The sequence below is a fragment of the Homo sapiens genome, chromosome 14, assembly GCF_000001405.40.
Source record: "Homo sapiens chromosome 14, GRCh38.p14 Primary Assembly".
Lineage (NCBI taxonomy): Eukaryota > Metazoa > Chordata > Mammalia > Primates > Hominidae > Homo > Homo sapiens.
In genome coordinates, this window is record NC_000014.9 from 76,584,346 (window position 1) to 76,603,612 (window position 19,267).

Consider the following 19,267-nt stretch of genomic DNA (forward strand, 5'->3'; position numbering starts at 1 on the left):
CCCTGGGGCCCTGGCCACTGGCCCAGCAGGCAGGAGGGGAGGCCAGGGAGCAGCTTGTCAGGATGTATGAACAATGCCGGGTGGCACCGGAGGGGCCCTCAGAAAGATGATCTCACAGTTCGAACTCGTTAATGAAAGAAATAAATTAAGCAAGCTCATTTTTCAGGGAATTCTTGTGTAAACTGGAAATTTTCCAGTTCGTGAGCCCTGTGCCAGGCCCTCCCATAAATCACAGCAAGTAGGCTGTCGGCTCAGCAGAGGGGGAAGAGGTGGAGGGGAGTGCGGCAAAACAGAGGGGAAGCCAGTGGCTGGCCAGGGTGGCGGGTGGGAAGCACCCACGTTCTCCTGGTGCATTCTCACTCCAGGTATCACTGGGAAGAGGAAAGGGAAATGAAAGGGCAGCAGGACCAGAGGGCTTCTGCCTGCAAACAGGCCCCTGCACGCCTGCAAACACCCCAGCCCCCATGCTCCCAACCTGGGAGAAGCCCCCGAAACAGGTCATTTTTTAATTGAATACAATATTAATTACTGCGTGCACCATTAACGGTTTGTGGGATTTGACTAATTAATGTAATAGTTTTTGAGTCACGCTCATTAAATATGAAAATTACGCTGGTAAAAGGTATTGGTTTCATTATCAATCTTGTATGGACAGGATGGGGGCAGGAACTAGAGGAGGGACAGAGCCCTGCTTGTCTCTTCAGGGCCGTAAACAGCTGTATTGGGGTTCCACTCTTAAGGGAAGCCCACAAAGGGGCTGGGAGAAGGGAAAGAAGGAGGGCTGGGGGGAGATTTGGGAGAAACTCTGTGCAGGCCGGACCCAGTGGCCACATAGAGCTCTGAAGACCACATCCCTGGGTTCCTTCCTACCCTAGACTTGTCCAAGTGGAACCCTCTCTTAGGCTGATTGATGGACTCATTCATTGATTCATTCATTGGTTGCTGCCTTCCTTTCTTCCTTCATTCATTCATTCAGGTGTGGTGTGGCAGACGCTGCTGGCTGGCCACCTGACATAATGCCCACTCCCAGCCCCATCATTCCTAGCCTGCCACCACCTCAGAGACTGGAAAAGGGAAACACTTCTATTTCCAACTTTCTTGTTTTATTCAGGCTGCTAAAACAATACTATAAACTGAGTGGCTTATAAACAACAGGGCTTATAAACAACAGGAGTTTATTTCTCACAGTCCGAAGGCTGGAAGTCCAAGATCAAGGCACCAGTGGATTCAGTGTCTGGTGAGGGTCCGCTCGCTAGACGGCCATGGCATCCTCACACAGTGGGAGGGGAGAGGGATCTCTCCGGGGTCTCCTACAAAGGCACTAATCCCACTCATGAGGGCTCCTCCCCCATGACCCAGTCACCTCCAAAAGGCCCCGCCTCCTAATGTCATCACTTTAGGGGTGAAAATTTCAACATATGAGTTTGGAGGGGACATAAACATTTGTTCTATTACACCAACCTCCGTGGAGGCTGGGCTGGTCCCGTGACGCTGAAGCAGGCAATACGATAAGAGGGAAGTCAAATTAAAGGGACAGACACTATGGGTAACGCGGTTTCTTTCCTTCTATTTGGAGTTTTGGCAGCTGTTTTTGAACATGAGGGAAAGGCCAAGAGACACACAGAAATGCTGGTCCTGATGCCACTGGGCCACAGAACAATCCCTAGAAGTCATCTACTCCCAGCATTCTTGTTTTGGGGAAAAATAGCATTCTATTTTTCTAAAACATTGATAATTTTTCTGTTATTTGCATCTACAAGTATTCCTGACAGATACATATGATAAAGGCGGATGCTATGAGGAACTCAAAGAAGCTTACAATCTAGTTATAAAGAACAAAAAGATGAAAAAATTTAAAAATGCCTCTCGTTCAAGGCCACAAACATCTAGTGTCAGCTGAGTGGCCTCAAAGGGTGGCCATGCAGCTGGTGAGCCTGGTGGAGCCTTATGGGTCTTTGCAGCTGGGCTCATTCTGACCAGCCAGCGCCCATGACAGCTGATTATCACATACTTAGATGATCACCCTGGATAGTGCACCCTGAGTTGTTCAAAGGAAAATTGGGTAGGATCATCCAGGAAGCCGCTATGGTTGGGCAGGGATTCAAGTTGGGCTTTGAAGGGTGGATGGGATTTCCAAAGCAGAAACGGACAAGGGGAGAAGGAGTGGGTGCCTTCCTGGGGTCAGTGAGGAAGTGGAAGTGAGCAAGGCCTGGAGATGGGAAGGGAAAAATCCATTGCAAGGAATGAAAAGTAGCCCTGATGGGTAACGAGAGGGAAGAGAGTACGGGGTCCCCGCTGTCCCCATCCTTGTCCTTGTGGGTGTCCTGCACTCTTGCCAGTAATTTATAGGAATATCAAGCTCAGTAGTTATAGCCTTGAGCTCAGGGTCTCTGTCTTTTATCTTTGCAGTCGTCCTGCTTAGTTCAGGATTTGACACATATGTAGTTGGCATGCAATAAGTGTCGATTGAATAAATAGAGATAAATTAAGGGAGTAGAAATACGATAACAGTTATCATTACTGAGAGCCTGGTATGTGCCAGGCACTGTTCTAGGCACTTTACATGTGTTATTACCTTTAATTTTACCAGGTAGATTTAGGTTCCAAGTCTAACTTTGCCCTCTTGAGCTCCATAATCTCATGCAAATTAACTGACCTCTTTGAATATATGTTTTCTTAATAGCAAAATGGCAAGAATAATGCCTTTTCAATATATTTATTGTGGTGAATAATATCACCATTAAAAGTAATATTTATTTAGTGTGTGTTGTCAGGTACTGTGCTAAATGTTTCACGTTCATTATCTCAATTATTCCTTATATAATAAGCCTATGAGGCAGGTACTTCTATTATCTGCTTATTAGAGACAAATAGCCTGCAGCCCAGAGAGGTTAAGTAATGTGTCCCAGGCCACACAGCTAGTGACAGGAGAATGCTAGAAAGTTGATTCATGCAGTGGTTGCTGTGAGAAGATACAAAGAGAAGACATGGCCCCTTTCCTTAAAGTGCTTAGCATGTGTCTGGGGAGCCTCAAAGGCCATGGCTAGCAAGAAGGGCCAACATCCTGGAGTGCCACTTATACAGTTCTGCAGAGGAGGACCTTGGTAAGGGAGTAATAGACCACCCTTGAGTCAGGTAGATTTAGATCCGACATAGGCAGGGTAGAAACAGGCCTAGAGAACTTCAGTCTCTCCCCTCACCCCCTACCATTCATCAGAGATGAACTGAAAGTTCAGAGAGATAAAGTGACATTACCAAGTGAATGTTAGGTATGCTTTTGGCTGTAAGTGCATGAAAAAAATCTGAACAAACAGTGGCTGTATTCATTTCCTTGTGCTGCTATAATAAAGTTTAGAGGCTTAAAACAACACATATTTATCATCTTACTGTTCTGGAGGTCAGAAGTCCAAATAGGTCTTACAAGGCTAAAATCAAGGCATCAGCAGGGCTTGTTGCTTTCTAGAAGCTCTAGGGGAAAACCATTTTCTTTCCTTTTCCAGCTGTTAGTGGTGTCCTGCATTCCTTGGCTCATGGCCCCATTCCATCTTCAAAGCCTGCAATGCCGGTCGAGTCTTTGCCACATAGAATCACTGTGACACTGACTCTTTTGCCTCCCTCTTGTACGTTTGGGGACCCTTGTGATGGTTACTTTTATGTGTCAACGTGGCAAGGCTATGGTGCCTAGTTGTTTGGTCAAACACTAGTCTAGCTATTGCTATAAAGTAGCTTTTAAAATATTTATTTATTTATTTATTTATTTATTTATTTATTCTTGAGACAGAGTCTCGCTCTGTAGCCCAGGCTGGAGTGCAGTGGTGTGATCACAGCTTACTGCAGCCTTGGCCACCTGAGCTCAGGTGATCCTCCTGTCTCAGCCTCCCAAGTAGCTAGAACCACAGGGACAGGCCACCATGCCCGGTTTTTTAATCTTTTGTAGGGCGGGGGGGGTTTCACCATGTTGGCCAGGCTGGTCTCAAACTCCTGGTGTCAAATGATTCACCTCCCTCAGCCTTCCAAAGTGCTGGATTACAGGCATGAGCCACCCCACCTGGCCTGTTGCTATAAAAGTAGTTTTTAGATGTGATTAACACTTAAATTAAACTTTTTTTTTTTTTGAGTCAGAGTCTTGCTCCGTTGCCCCAGCTGGTGTGTAGTGGTATGATCATGGCTCGCTGTGGCCTCGAACTCCTGGCCTCAAGCAACCCTCCCGCTTTAGCCTCCCGAGTAGCTTCTATTACAGGCATGTGCCACTGCACTCACCTCAGATCAGTAGACTTTCAGTAAAGCAGGTGACCCTCTATTACCTGAGAGTCTTGATGCAGTCAGTTGAAGGCTGAGAAAAGACTGAGGTTTCAAAGTAGGAGCAGTTCTGCCTCAAGACTGCAATATAGAATTTCTGCCTGAATTTTCAGCCTGCAGACTTTGCACTCAAGACTTCAACATTGACTATTCCCTGAATTTCCAGCCTGCCAGACTGCTTTACAAATTTCAGGCTCATGGGCCAATTCCTTAAAATAAATTTTTCTTGGCCTGATGCAGTGGTTCACACCTGTAATCCGAGCACTCTGGGAGGCCGAGGTGGGTGGATCACCTGAGGTTAGGAGTTCAAGACCAGCCTGGCCAACGTAGTGAAACCCCATCTCTACTAAAAATACAAAAATTAGCTAGGCATGGTGGCAGGTGCCTGTAATCCCAGCTACTCGGGAGGCTGAGGCAGGAGAATTGCTCCAACCCAGGAGGTTGCAGTGAGTCGAGATCACACCACTGCACTCCAGCCTGGGCGACAGAGTGAGACTCCGTCTCAAAAAAAATAAAAAAATAAAAAATAATATAAATTTTCTCTCTCTCTGAGAGATATATATGTCTTGAGGGATACATCTATATAGGTCCATTCAGACACTCCAGGATAATCTCCTCATTTTAAATCCAGCTGATTAGCAACCTTAATTGTATCTGCTACCACTATTTCCTGTTGCCAAATAACCTAACATAGTCATAGATTCCAGGGATTAAAACATGAACATCTCTGGGAATGGTGACATCATTCTGCCCATTGTAAAAACTTCAACAAGTAAAGGTGTATTTTCCTCCCATAATAAGAAGTCTGAAGGGGGAGCTGATAGCTGGAGGCAGGGTTCCATGACTCAGGCTCTTCACGTGCTCTAATATGTTGGCTTCAGTCCTCAAGCTCGCCACCTCATGCTCACACGATGGCTGCCTCAGCTCCCAGTGTCATATCTTCATACCATGACGCAAAGCAGGAGAGAAGGGGATAGGCAAAAAAGCCCTCCTTTTAAATCCCGGACAACAAACCTTCACTGGGGACTTCTAAAAACTTCTTTTTGGCTGGGTGCAGTGGCTCACACCTGTAATCCCAGCATTTTGGGAGGCTGAGGTGGGTGGATCACTTGAGGCCAGGAGTTCGAGACCAGCCTGGCCAACATGGTGAAACCCCTAAACTACTAAAAATACAAATCTTTTTCTTTTTTTTTTTTTGAGACAAAGTTTTGCTCTTATTGCCCAGGCTGGAGTGCAGTGGTGCGATCTCGGCTCACTGGAACCTCTGCCTTCCAGGTTCAAGTGATTCTCCTGCCTCAGCCCTTGCAATAGCTGGGATTATGGGTGCCTGCCACCATGCCCAGCTAACTTTTGTATTTTTAGAAGAGACGGAGTTTCATCATGTTGGCCAGGCTGGTCTCGAACTCCTGACCTCAGTGATCCACCCACATCAGCCTCCCAAAGTACTGGGATTACAGGCGTGAGCCACCATGCCCAGCCTAAAAATACAAAAATTAACGCGGCATGGCAGCGCACACCTGTAATCCCAGCTACTCAGGAGGCTAAGGCACAAGAATCACTTGAACCAAGAGATGGAGGTTGCAGAGAGCCGAGATCACGCCACTGCACTCCAGCCTGGGCAACAAAATGAGACTTCATCTCAAAAAAAACCAAAACCAAAACCAACCAGCCAACCAACCAAACAAAAACCTTTTGCCTGCCACTGGGGACATCTGGGTTATGGGGCCATCTCTGACTGAGGAAGTGAATGTGCAGCATTCCATTTTTTTTTTTTAAGATGGAGTCTTGCCCTGTCACCAGGCTGGAGTGCAGTGGTGCAATCTCAGCTCACTGCAACCTTCACCTCCCGGGTTCAAGCAATTCCCCTGCCTCAGCCCAGTAGCTGGGACTACAGCCGCATGCCACCATGCCCGGATAATTTTTTGTATCTTAGTAGAGACGGGGTTTCACCATGTTGGCCAGGATGGTCTTGATCTCCTGCCTCGGCCTCCTGCCTCGGCCTCCCAAAGTGCTGGGATTACAGGCGTGAGCCGCCACGCCCGGCCGCGTTCCATACTTATAGAGGGAGGCAGGGCAAGACAAAAGGAGCTTTGGGCAGCCATGCAAGGTCATACAGCTTCCCATGGCAGAGCTGGAACGGAGCACGGTCCCTGCATATGGCTGGTGGCCTCTACTCTCCTCCATGGTCCTGTTGAAACAAGCAGGTTGTCTGTGCAAACCAGGACGGCCTCATCATCCAGGAGTGTGGCTCCACTGCTCATGGCTGTTTGAACTTGGGCACTGCCTCATCGGTAAACTGGAGTTGTTCTGAAGATGAATAAGATCAGCTACATAAATGTGTTTGGTAACAGAGCAAGTTCCTTTTACACCAAAGTCACAGCCTAAGGGTCAGAGGCAGAGGAGGGGGTTGGGAGGGAGACAGGAAACCAAGCCCTGGGGCTTCAGCCCATCCATTGCAGAATGGGCTGCCCTGCATGGTTTTCTAAGATGCCACCTCCACCCCACAGGCCAGTCCTGCAAGCTCTTTATTGGTACTGTTGACTATTCTGGTTAATTAATTGATGTTTGCTGAGTGAAGGAGAGAGACCCATTTAAACCAAAACCTCTTTCAAGCTGCTGGCCGGCCTAGAGCAGAGCAGAAAAGATTGTAGCAGGAACAAAGCTCCCTCTGAGGATAGTAAAAGTCCCCTTCACTCTGGGCTCTCTCCTCCCAAGCATCATGAAGGCAGTTGGGGACGTAGGCCTGTTAGTGACAGTGAGTGACTCCCAAGCCGAGCCCTGGAGAGGGGCCCGTGCCAGCTCCATTATGTTTATGTCCCTGGCTTGGCGGTTTCCTCTGGGCCTGCTCCACAGCGTGTGCTCACGGGGGTGGCTGTGTGTCAGTGGGGGTTGGGGGAGGTGCCTCCGTGTGGGGAATGGGAGGCCAGAGAAGGAGAAGGGTGGCGAAGGGGAGGGGCAGAAGGAAAGTGAGAGTATAAGAACTAAGCCCTGGCCGGAAGACTGTGTTTCTTTTATTTTAAAGAAAGGATAAAGGGATGTTGTGAAAGAAAAGAAGAGAGGGAGGAAGAGAAAAACAGAATAATAGAAAGAGGGACAGGGACATATGGAAGAGAGATAGGAGGGGACAGGTTAGGGGACCAGGAATTCACAAGTGCCAGGCACCACTGGTGGTGGTGAGCCTCAGAGGTGGGGAATCACCCAGGTCTCAAAGGACGGTTCTGAATGGGGACCTCCGAGCTGAAAGACCAAGCTCTTTCACCACAGTGACAAGGTTGGGGGCTGGGGACCATGGGGGCAGTTCAGGGGACCTGAATTTAAGCAGTCAGCTGATGGCTGAGGGCATGGGGCTCAAGTGGAAGATAGCCCGAGTGTGGGAAAAACTCATGCTCAGAGCCAAATCCTGGCTCTGTCATTTAGAAACATGATTGAAACCCTTATGGCTCGGCTTCCTGTTATGAAAAATAGGGTAATCATAGTTCCCACATCATGGCATTGTTGTGAGGGTTCCATGAGGTCACGCATATGGGGTGCTTAGAGTATCCAACGTCAGCTAAGTGCTCAGTAAGGCTTAGGTGCCATGAGATAATTCTTTGCCAACAAAATCCCTATGTTGTTGAGGATGGCGATACTCCCGGTTCATTTCCTAGCCTTCTTTGCAGTTGCGGCAGCTCCTGAGATGTAAGAGGAAGTTATTGTTGGGGGGGCTTCAGGAAATCTTTTTAAAAGGGTCTGACTCCTCTGGCAAGCTCTTCCTTTCTTTTCTTCTTCAAGACAGGAAGGTGGGCATGATGACTGTAGCGGCAGCAGCCATCTTGCAGCCCTGAGTTTCCCTTGAGGACAGACACATGCACTAAGAATGGTAGAACAGAAAGGCAGAAGGAGCCTGAGGCGCTAACCACATCGTGGGGCTGTCAAAAAGCCCTGGACCTCCTGTCTCCACGAGTGTTTTGCCTGAGAGAAAAGCAAACCATTAACTTATTTAAACTGCTATAGCTCCAAGTTTCTATTAATTGCTGCCAAACTAAATATAGCTGACACAAATTTTAAAGTTAAATAGATTCTAGAAGAGTTAGAGAAATGTATACTGGTAGATCCAAAAGAGTGACTTGGCCGGGCATGGTGGCTCATGCCTGTAATCCCAGCACTTTGGGAGGCCAAGGAGGGGAGATTACTTGCGGTCAGGAGTTTGACACCAGCCTGGGCAACATGGTGAAAGCCCGTCTCTACTAAAAAATATAGAAATTAGCCGGGCGTGGTGGCATGCACCTGTAATCCCAGCTACGCGGGAGGCGGAAGCATGGGAATTGCTTGAACCCTGGAGATGGTGGTTGCAGTGAGCCAAGATCACACCACTGCACTCCAGCCTGGGTGACAGAATGAAACTCTGTCTCAAAAAAAAAAAAAAGAAAAACACACAAAATGGGTGACTTATGGAAGGTGGGGTGTCATGGGAGCATGTGTGAAAGGCACCGAGTCACCTCCTAGGTCCCGTAACCTGTCCCCTGACCAGGTTGTCTGTGAGTCCAGTCAGCCAGTGATTGTCTTATTGTCCTCATCAAAGCAATGGGAACAAAGGCCTTCTAGAAACCAGTTCAGGACAAACGCCCCTGGACATCAAAGTCCCTTTGTGTCTAAGAGAGAGAAGCCCCCAGAAACCCATCAGAACCAGGGCTACCAGCAGCACGCAGTCACGTGGGTGGATATTGGTATCACCCACCTGCAAGGCTTGATTCATGCTTCTGAAGGTGGCAAAATGCTCCTGGCCCACACAGAAGTCCCTCGGGGAGTGTTGAATGGCCACTTTTGGGTCGGGATGAGGCTGAAGGAGGGCCCTGGAACAACTCTCATCCCCAAACTCCACAAGTCTCCTATGGGTCTGTGTCCAGCAGAATGTCTCATGACCCTTGGGATGCAGTGTGTATGCCATGCTGGTGAAGCTCAGAGTGAGGGTGGGGCTCTCACCTCTTCATGGTCTGCTCTTTGGGCTGTGTGATGGTTCATTTTAGGTATCAACTTGCCTGGATTAAGGGACAGCCAGATAGCTGGCAAGACCTTATTTCTGGGTATGTCTATGAGGGTGTTTTTGGAAGAGACTGGCATTTGAATCAGTGGCCCAAGTAAGGAAGATTCACCCTCACCCAATATAGACAAACACCATCCAATCAGCTGAGGGCTGAGATGGAACAAAAAGGCAGAGGACATGAGAATTTACTCTCTCTCTCGTCTGGAGATGGGACACCTTTCTTTGCCTGCCCTTGAACATCCCACTTCCAGATTCTCTGGCCTTTGGATTTGGGGACTTCTACCAGTGGCCCCTGGGTTCTCAGCACTTTGGCCCTGGACTGAGAGTTACCCTATTGGCATCCCTGGGTCTCTGGCCTTTGTACTTGGACTGAGCCATGCAACTGGCTTCCCTGGTTCTCCAGCTCACAGACGGCCAGTTGTGGGGCTCATCAGCCTCCATAATTTCATAAGCTAATTCAGCTTGTAAGTCTCCTCTCATCTCTCTCTCTCTCTCTCTGTGTATATGTCCTATCAGCTCTGACTCTCCGGAGGACCCTGAATATTACAGGCTGGATAGTACTCCTTTTGCAGGAGATGGGGTGAGGCTATTTTCTTCTTGAGAGTAGAAGCAGCTGATTCCTTCACTGCTTCCCCAATCCCGACTTTTTGAAATAGATGAGAGGAAAAGGGCATGGAGCTAGGAGAGGCACCAAGAGGCTTTTCCCTGCTAAGACTTAGGTCTGGGGTCTGCTGAGCAGAAGCTGCCTGTGTCTGTGCTTGAAGGAAGGACACCAGATGGAAAGCAGGTAGCACTGAGATTTCCTACTGATGAGCCAGGGCCTAAGGCAGAGGGGCAAATAAAGGCAAGCACTGGGCCAGGGCAGCAGAGGGTCCTCCAGACACCAGCTCAAAGAGGGTCCTGGCTCCCCGGCAGTGGAGGTGGAGACTTTGCTGCCTCCCGACTTCCCTGTGCATTCTTTGGGTCTCTGGAACATAAGCACATTTTTTTGAAAGTGATTTTTTAGTTGACATTGAGTCAAGGATATTTGAAAATGAAAAATAAGCATCTGACTCTCTGGCAGGACACTTTGATTCCAGAGCTGGGTAGAGCCCCAGAACCAAGGGAAGAGGGAAAACCCCACTTTCTTTTATATTTTCTTTCTTATATGAAGAGCCACAAGCTCTTCGTATAAAAGAAAGTTCTTTAATAGAAGGGCAAAACAAACAGAACATTATCTCTGCAGAAGGCATCAAGGAGGGATCAAAACTGAGTAGGCTCAGGATGAAGGCATAGAGAAAACTTCTTCAGAGGGATAAGATTTGGGGGGTCAATGCCCAGAAGAGCCCCTGAGTTTATTTCTATTCCAGAGAGTAATCTGAGAAGTGTCAGGGTGACTACAGCCATATCCAGCATGTTCAAGAGCTTGCCTTCTCATCAAGAGATGTTACCCAAGTCTTTGACTTATTCATTTCATCAATCACTTATTCAGTCTACAATTTCATTGTTGTGTTATGCACATAATAAATATTTCCCTTGAAATCATACCTTTCACTTTCTTCCAGGGCTAAGTTCTAAATTCATTGCCTCCTCCCCATTGCTGGGGGTCCGTTAATCAGCTTTATGAGGATTGTTGCTCTTCTGTACATTGACCTGCATAGAGGAGGCCCAATGGCAGCACAGAGCTAGCTGGAGTCCATCCCCTTGTCTTGCCACGTGGATCTGGCCATTGAATTATCATTGCACAAGAGATCTATTTCTGCCAATTTTGCTCAGTGTGCCAGAGTGTCTGCTACACTATTAGAATCTGCTCAGATGTCTAACGTTGACTGTATGTGGTTAAGAACCTTCATTCATTTAACACATATTTTTGGTGCCTCCCACGTACTTAGCACTTCGTAACATGTGACTTTTTGTGCTGAAACTTAAGCAGCAGAGAATCCACAAGAATGCCTGTACTTCTGAGATCTACACACCAGCAGGGTCTTCAAAATAAAAATAGGACAGTGGCGCCAATGGCACCATAGACTTTGAATCTTCCTTCTAGGAAAATGGGCAGAGCAACTAGGGTAGAAAAACAAAATATCCTTATGTACAACAAAATCAGAAGGAGGAATCCCATGAACCCCCAAATATGAGTGGGTGAAGTAGCCCAGAGACCCTCAAAACCACCCAGAAGTGCTGACTGGAACCATGACAGGCTAAAACGTAAGAGGAGCAGAGAAGCTGGGAGGGGTCTCGGCAGACCCAGAGTTGAGGTTAGGACACCCTAGGCAGTCTGGACCTGATAGCTCCTGAAACTAACCAGTGAGGGCTTCTTTCCAGGACAAACCCCACACAGAGGAGGAACTACAAACTAAGGCTTCAGACTGCAGACTGGGAGAGTAACAGCAAAGGAGAGAAAGACCTAGAACTCCCTACTGCTCAATATGGAACCCTGCCCCACCCCGCCCCCCACCCCCCGCCACTGGCCAGATATGGCTACCTAACAATGGCCCTCACTAAAATGGAATCTTTGTTTGTTTGTTTGTTTTGAGACGGAGTCTCACTCTGTCGGCCAGGCTGGAGTGCAGTGGCACGATCTCGGCTCACTGCAAGCTCCGCCTCCTGGGTTCACACCATTCTCCTGCCTCAGCCTCCCAAGTAGCTGGGACTACAGGTGCCCATCACTATGCCCGGCTAATTTTTTTGTATTTTTAGTAGAGATGGGGTTTCATTGTGTTAGCCGGGATGGTCTTGATCTCCTGACCTCATGATCCGCCTGTCTCGGCCTCCCAAAGTAAAATTGAATTTTAAGGGCAGGCAGGGTGGTTCACACCTGTAATCTCAGCACTTTGGGAGGCTGAGGTGGGTAGATCACCTGAGGTCAGGAGTTCGAGACCAGCCTAGCCAACATGGCAAAACCCTATCTCTACTAAAAATAAAAAAATTAGCCAGGCATGGTGGCACATGCCTGTCATCCCAGCTACTCAAGAGGCTGAGGCAGGAGAATTACTTGAACCCTGGAGGCGGAGGTTGCAGTGAGTTGGGATGGTGCCACTGCACTCCTGGGTGACAGAGCGAGACTCTGTGTCAAAAATAAATAAATAAATACAAAATAAAATTGCATTTTAAAATGGAGTCTCTTAGTTGCATCAGCCACATTTCAAATGCTTGGCTACTAGCTTCTGCTGTATGGTGGCTGCACTGGACCGTGCAGATGTAGAACAAACCCATTATCACAGAGTTCTGTCGGACAGTGCTGAAGTTACACAGTGTATTAGTCCATTCTTGCCTTGCTATAAATACATATCTGAGACTGAGTAATTTATGAAGAAAAGAGGTTTAATTGGCTCACGGTTCTGTAGTCTGTACAGGAAGCATGATTCTGACATCTGCTCAGGTTCTGGGGAGGATGGCTGGTGCTGGTGCAGGAGGAAGAGAGAGGGGAGGTGCTCCTTTTTTTTTTTTTTTTTTTTTTGAGACAGAGTCTCGCTCTGTCACCCAGGCTGGAGTGCAGTGATGCCATTTCGGCTCACTGCAACCTCCGGCCCAGGTTCAAGCAATTCTCCTGCCTCAGCCCTCCGAGTAGCTGGGATTACAGACGTGTGCCACCACGCTCAGCTAATTTTTGTATTTTTAGTAGAGACAAGGTTTCACCATGTTGGCCAGGCTGGTCTTGAACTCCTGGCCTCAAGTAATCTGCCCACCTCGGCCTCCCAAAGTGCTGGGATTACAGGCATGAGCCACAGCACCTGGCTGTGCTATACATTTTTAAACAACCAGATCTCACGAGAACTCACTCATGATCATGAAAACAGCACCAAGGAGAATAGCACGAAGGGAATGGTGCTAAACCATTCAGGAGAAACTGTGCCCATGATCCAATCATCTTCCACCAGGCCCCACTTCCAACACTAGGGATTACAATATGACCTGGGATTCGGGCCAGGACAGTGATCCAAACCATGTCATATGAGAAGGGAAACAGAGGCCTCTGAAAGTGAAAGCCCATATTTTGTATCCCTCAAGAAAAACAACAAAAGAGCAAGGTCTTGGGCAGAAAGCTAGCAAGGACATCTTGCCCATATTCCCTTCCTGACAGTACAGGAACACACACCTCTCTGAAACAGGAGGGACTGGAAAGGATTGCCACAAAATCCCCTACGGAAAGAAAATTAAATTGTCATCAGATTTTTCAACAGCAATGCTTTCTGCAAAAAAAAAAAATTTTTTTTAATAATAAATTAAAGCTATTCCAGGAAACGAGTGAAGGATTTTATATCCACACAAATTGAGTCAAGTACAAAGGCTGCAGACAAACTTTTGAACGTGTAAGAAACCCTTACGAATCCCTCCTGAGGAATCCACTAGAAATTAACTAAGACAATTGAAATGAGTGGAGTGACGTCAATTAAGACTAGTGCGAGGCCAGGTGCAGTGGCACATATCTGTAATCCCAGCACTTTGGGAGGCCGAGGCAGGCAGATCACCTGCCTGGTCAGGAGTTAAGAGACCAGCCTGGCCAACATGGTGAAACCCCATCTCTACTAAGAATACAAAAATTAGCTAGGCATGATGGCAGACACCTGTAATCTCAGCTACTCAGGAGGCTGAGGCAGGAGAATCGCTTGAACCTGCAAGGCAGAGGTTGCAGTGAGCTGAGATCTTGCCACTGCACTCCAGCCTGGGATACAGGGCAAGACTCTATCTTAAAAAAAAAAAAAAAAAAAAAAAAAAAAAGACTAATGCTGAGTATTGCATATATATAAATGTATTTAATACATAAAGATCTGCTTAATATACAAAGGTGTTTTGTGCTTAAATATTAAAAATACAGTCAAATAATCAACATGGAGGGAGAATGTGAAAAGTATTTGAAATAAGCGTGCTTATTGCCTTAGAGGCATTAGTCAATAGTAAAGGATACTGCAAGGAATGAACAGCAGGTGACTCTGTCACTCCCTAATGTGCGACCATGGAAATGTGACTTTTCCTCTCGGGTGCTCAGTTATTCCAGCTGTAAGATAGACAGAATAAGATCTTCTGTGCCTAGCCTGTGGGGTATGAAAACCTGATCAGGACTCTATAAACATCAAGTTTTATTATTTTGAGACCTAGGAAAAAGTATCCTATTTTAGAGCAGAGGAGACTAGAGGTTTTAGCCAAGGCATGTGAGAAGGATAAGGTGAAGGGACAGCTGAGCTCCTCAAGCCTTTTGCTGCTTCTTAGGAAGATGTCAGCCCTGAATGCTCCCTGGCCTGGGCTGTGAAGGAGGCAACCAGGCAGCATCAGAAATACGGAAATACAGGGGACACGTTAGGGAAGCGAGCCCCCCGGGACTCTCAAAGCAAACGTGCTGCTCCAGAAGGGCAGGGAACAAGGTGAGCTAGGGGCCAAGAATGCGATGCAAGAAAGGCAAAGTCAGAAGATGGGAGGCCCAGCTGGTGGGCATCACACCAGAAACTGGAAAAGCATAGCTGGAAGGGAAAAAATCAAACAGAAGGTAGTTATTTGTTGGGGGGCCATACATAGGAGATGCAGGGTCAAGTAGCCCCACTGAAACAAACCCAGCTTTGTGCTGATCTCCTAGAGCGACCCTGCTTCCTCCCCAGGCAGGAGGGGACATAAGACCCTCCTATGCACCAGCCAAGCCACATTTGCCAGGTGCACACCCAAGACCTTTGGAGAAGGCTGGAAGCTGGATCCCCACCCTCAGGGGCCCGGCGTACCATGTGAACCTCTGGGGCTGAGCTGGTCCCTGACACCTGGTCAAATAAAGTTCGCCCATGGTCCCATCACTGCCACTGTGTCCCTGATTCCCTCTCCAAGGAACCTTGCTCTCCATTTGTCAATTTTAAGTGATAATTTCTATTCAATCTGATACATATTATAAGAATATAAACAAATGCCTCTCCCCCTATCGGCCCCATAATCACTTTCTTTTATAGCTATCATTTATTACAGGATGACAGATGGCCAGTTTGCAGAATTCCAAAGAGGCTCCCCGCCGGCCAGTCACCTGGGAACACGGGAGCATTTACATTTCTCCAAAACAGATGGGAAAGGGAGGGGGAAGGAGGCAGATTCCTGTCACAAACTTTGGCGCTTTCCAGAATGTGTTTCTTTTGCCTCTCCCTCTATCCCTCTGCCTTTCTCACAGATGGCACCTTTCCCTTCTCGCCCCTTTCCAAACCTCCCCATGCCCTCCCATTCGTCTATTTCCCGTTAGTGGCAACTGAAACCGCCAGTATGGCGGTCTCGATGGCTGGAGGCTCACAGACTCTTGGCAGGTCACCTTCTGGGGACTTTTAAGGCCTGCTGTCCGCTACTGCAGCCTACCCTCCTGGCTTGTTATTTGGAATTGGGACTGAGGTAAGAGACCAGGGGAGCATGAGAAGTGAGTTGCTTCAGAGGACAGATGCTGGAGCCTGGCTTTTTCACAAAACTACAGAGCAGCGGCTCTCAACCCTGACAGCATGCAAGATCCCCTTAAGGCCTTTTTAAACACATTGATGCCCCACCCAAAACGATTAAATCAGAAAGTCTGGGGGTGGGATCTGGCAAGTTGTGCAGCTATGGTTGAGAATCCATTGCTGCAGAGCCAAAGCAAAAGGAGATTTTAAGAAGGCAAAAAATGAAGAAGCCATAGAGAGGATAGACTACTGTGTGCCAGGCATTGCAAGAGTCGCAAAGTTAGAACTCAATGATATATAGTCCCTGTTCCTGGCCCAGCGGGGCGAATGCAAATCAACCGACCACTGCAGTTGAGAATGGGAGGAGCTGAGAAGGAGCTACGCTGGCTGAGATGGGACCTTAGGGACATCTTCCTACAAGAAGATGGCATCCAGAGTGAAGAATATAGAGGAAATAGGAGACTATCGACATGACCCCAATGTAAGGAATGATTTCTTAAGACACAGGAGTGGAACCCATAAAGAAAATGACTGATACATTTGCCTCCAATAAAATCAAGATCTTTTGTTCCCCAAAAGATACCACAGGGAGAAAGAGAAGACAAGCCACAAACTAGAAGATATTCCTAACATGGGCAACTAATAGAGGATTGATATCCAGAGTACATAAAGAAGGTCTATGAATCTTTAGGAAAAAAACAACCCAGTAAAACAATTGGCCAAGGAAACACATTAAAGGAAACACGAAATGGTCAATAAGCATAAGAGAAAAAAAAATAATCAACAAAACGCAAATTACAACCAGAAGGAGATGCCATTTCACATACATGAAATTGGCAAAAACTTAAGTCCGACAACATGAAGTATTATGAGGATATTGATGCTGGCAGATGTATAACTTGGTATAATGACTTTGGAAAAGCCATCCCGTGATACCTACTAAGGCTGAACACATGCACACTTTACTATCCAGCGCTTTTACTCAGTACATATGGAAAAGAGACTTGCATATGTGCCTAGAGATGCACACAATAGGAATCTTCATAGCAACATTGATCGTAATAGCAAAAACTGGAAATCCAAATGTCTATCAGCAGCAACATGGATAAATAAATGTTGCTGTAATCATATAATGAAAACCATACAACTATACATCCAAAGAAACAATAGCTACATACATCAGTGTAGATAAAACTCAAAAGTGTAATGTTGAGTAAAAACAGCAAATTATGAAAAAATACAATGAATAGGGTGCTACTTATATAAAGTTTGAAAACATGCATGAGTAACAACATATTGTTCTGGGATGCATACATATGTGATAAAATTGTAAAAAAAAAATCAGGGAATAATTATATTAGTCCATTCTGGCATTGCTGTAAAGAAATACCTGAGACTGGGTAATTTATAAAGAAAAAAGGTTGAATTGACTCACAGTTCCACAGGCTGTACAGGAAGCATGATGTTGGCATCTGCTTGCCTTCTGGGGAGGCCTCAGGAAGCTTTCAATCACGGCAGAAGGCAAAGGGGAAGCAGGCATATCTTACATGGCTGGAGGAGGAGGAGCGGAGGGAGAGAGAGAAGGGGGAGGTGTCACATACTTTTAAACAATCAAATCTCACGAGAACTCACTCACTATCATGAGAATGGTACGAAGGAGAAAATCTGTCCCCAGGATCCAGTTATCTTCCACCAGGCCCCACCTCCAACACTGGGAATTACAATTTCAATGAGATTTGGGCAGGGACACAGATCCAAACCATATCAATGATTAAGACAAACATCCACAAGGTGGAGATGCTCAGATGACATCAGGAATGTCACATACACAGGTAGGGGTGGGAGGTGTTTTTAATGATAATAGTGATTCTATTTCTTAAGCCAGGTAGTAGATACAGGGGTGTTCATTTTATTATTTTATTATTATTAAACACTTTTTATGTGTACATTTTATAAGAAAAATATATATATATTTGTTTGAGATGGAGTCTCACTCTGTCACCCAGGCTACAGTGCAGTGGTGTCATCTCAGCTCACTGCAACCTCTGCCTCCTGGGTTCAAGCAATTCTCCTGCCTCAGTCTCCTGAGTAGCTGGGATTACAGGTGCATGCCACCACACCCAGCTAATTTTTGTATTTTTTGTAGAGAAGAGGTTTCATCATGTTGACCAGGCTGGTCCCGAACTCCTGGCCTCAAGTGAGCCACCTGCCTTGGCCTCCCAAATTCTGGGATTTACAGGCGTGAGCCACCGTGCCTGGCCAAATAAATGTTATTCTTTATCTCAAAGTTGATCCAAACTTGTAGCTCAGTTTGGCCTATTTTTATTTTTTTCCATAGGAAACATCCATCCTTCCTTAGCCCATTGAAGTAACTTAACAGACCCATATCAGACACTGAGGATACATTGTGGTCAATTTCCAGCTGAGAGGCAGGGCTCTGGGGTGTGGAAGTGGCCCATGCCCTGCAAGCCCCTCTAGCCCATCTATGCCTCAGTCAGAGGGTAAGTAAGCACCTGTCCTTGGAAAATGCCTGGCCTAAGTGTCTTGGGAGAGTCAATGGCCAGACCCTGCCCTAAGCACATTACCCTCTAATGATGAGGCAGGACAAATGACCCACCAAAATCACCAAGTAAACAGCACTGAGTGACAAACACAAGGTACTCTGCTCTGTGTGTGTTGGTCTGGAAGCTGGAAGAAGTCCTGGGATCATGATGGGCACTACAGACAATATCCTTATTTTTTTGGGTGGGCAGAATGGACCAGGACTACCCTTTTTTTTTTTTTTCTTTTTTTGAGACAGAGTTTCACTCTTGTCACCCAGACTGGAGTGCAATGGTGCAATCTTGGCTCACTGCAACCTCCGCCTCCAGGGTTCGAGTGATTCTCCTGCTTCAGCCTCCGGAGTAGCTGGGATTACAGGCATGCAACACGATGCCCAGCTAATTTTTGCATTTTTAGTAGAGACAGGGTTTCACCATGTTGGCCAGACTTGAACTCCTGACCTCAGCTGATCCACTTGCCTTGGCCTCCCGAAGTGCTGGGATTACAGGCCTGAGCCATTGCGCGGGACCAGGACTATCCTTAAGGTCCCTTCCAACTCTGAAATTTTTGATCCTATGTATATTTGGGGCTAAGTACCCCACATATATATTTAGAAGATTGTTTACACCTAAGCTGATGGTTTTGTTCTTAACCTGATTGCATGCCTATGTGCATGACTTTACACAGAAATTAAGGAAAGCCAACGTGCCCCCATCTGTTCTCTTCTGAGATGATACTGGCCAGGACTAGAACTCTGCCCTTGATGTTATTAGCATCTGGGCAAAGGAGAAATTGACGGGGGTGGCAGCGTTTGAGGGGATGTGGAGGGACTAAGGTTTCAAGAGATGACCTGTGAAGCACTGCAGATGTAGGGAAGTGTGTAGGAAAAATGGGATGTGGGTGTCCTTGCTGATGTTAAGGTATGAAGAAGGTTTACCAGGGAGAGTGCGGTGCTTGGTAAAAAGGAACCTCCCACTGAGGATTCCTCTCCTAAACAGGACTGTGACCCACTGGTCACCAAAGGAGTCTT

The 19,267-nt window shown here is 46.9% G+C and overlaps 1 long non-coding RNA gene across 2 annotated transcripts, besides 1 other annotated feature; it reads right to left on the minus strand.

Annotated features, from left to right (window-relative positions):
- Window positions 1–295: a silencer, noted in NCBI's record as "tiled region #14992; K562 Repressive non-DNase unmatched - State 22:ReprW". NCBI's record gives its function as "represses a minimal TATA promoter and a strong SV40 promoter by Sharpr-MPRA in K562 cells {active_cell/tissue: K562}" and the evidence as "EXISTENCE:reporter gene assay evidence [ECO:0000049][PMID:27701403]".
- LOC105370576 (uncharacterized) lies at window positions 6,320–11,737 on the minus strand. 2 transcript variants are annotated; one of them, XR_944042.2, is made up of 4 exons: window positions 11,607–11,737; window positions 10,850–11,365; window positions 9,017–10,289; window positions 6,320–8,250 (listed from the first exon to the last, which is right to left on the minus strand). It is a non-coding gene; the product is annotated as an uncharacterized LOC105370576 (long non-coding RNA). The 2 variants fall into 2 exon arrangements; XR_944041.2 differs by having other exon boundaries at window positions 9,017–11,365.
- Window positions 11,738–19,267: the final 7,530 nt, after the last annotated feature.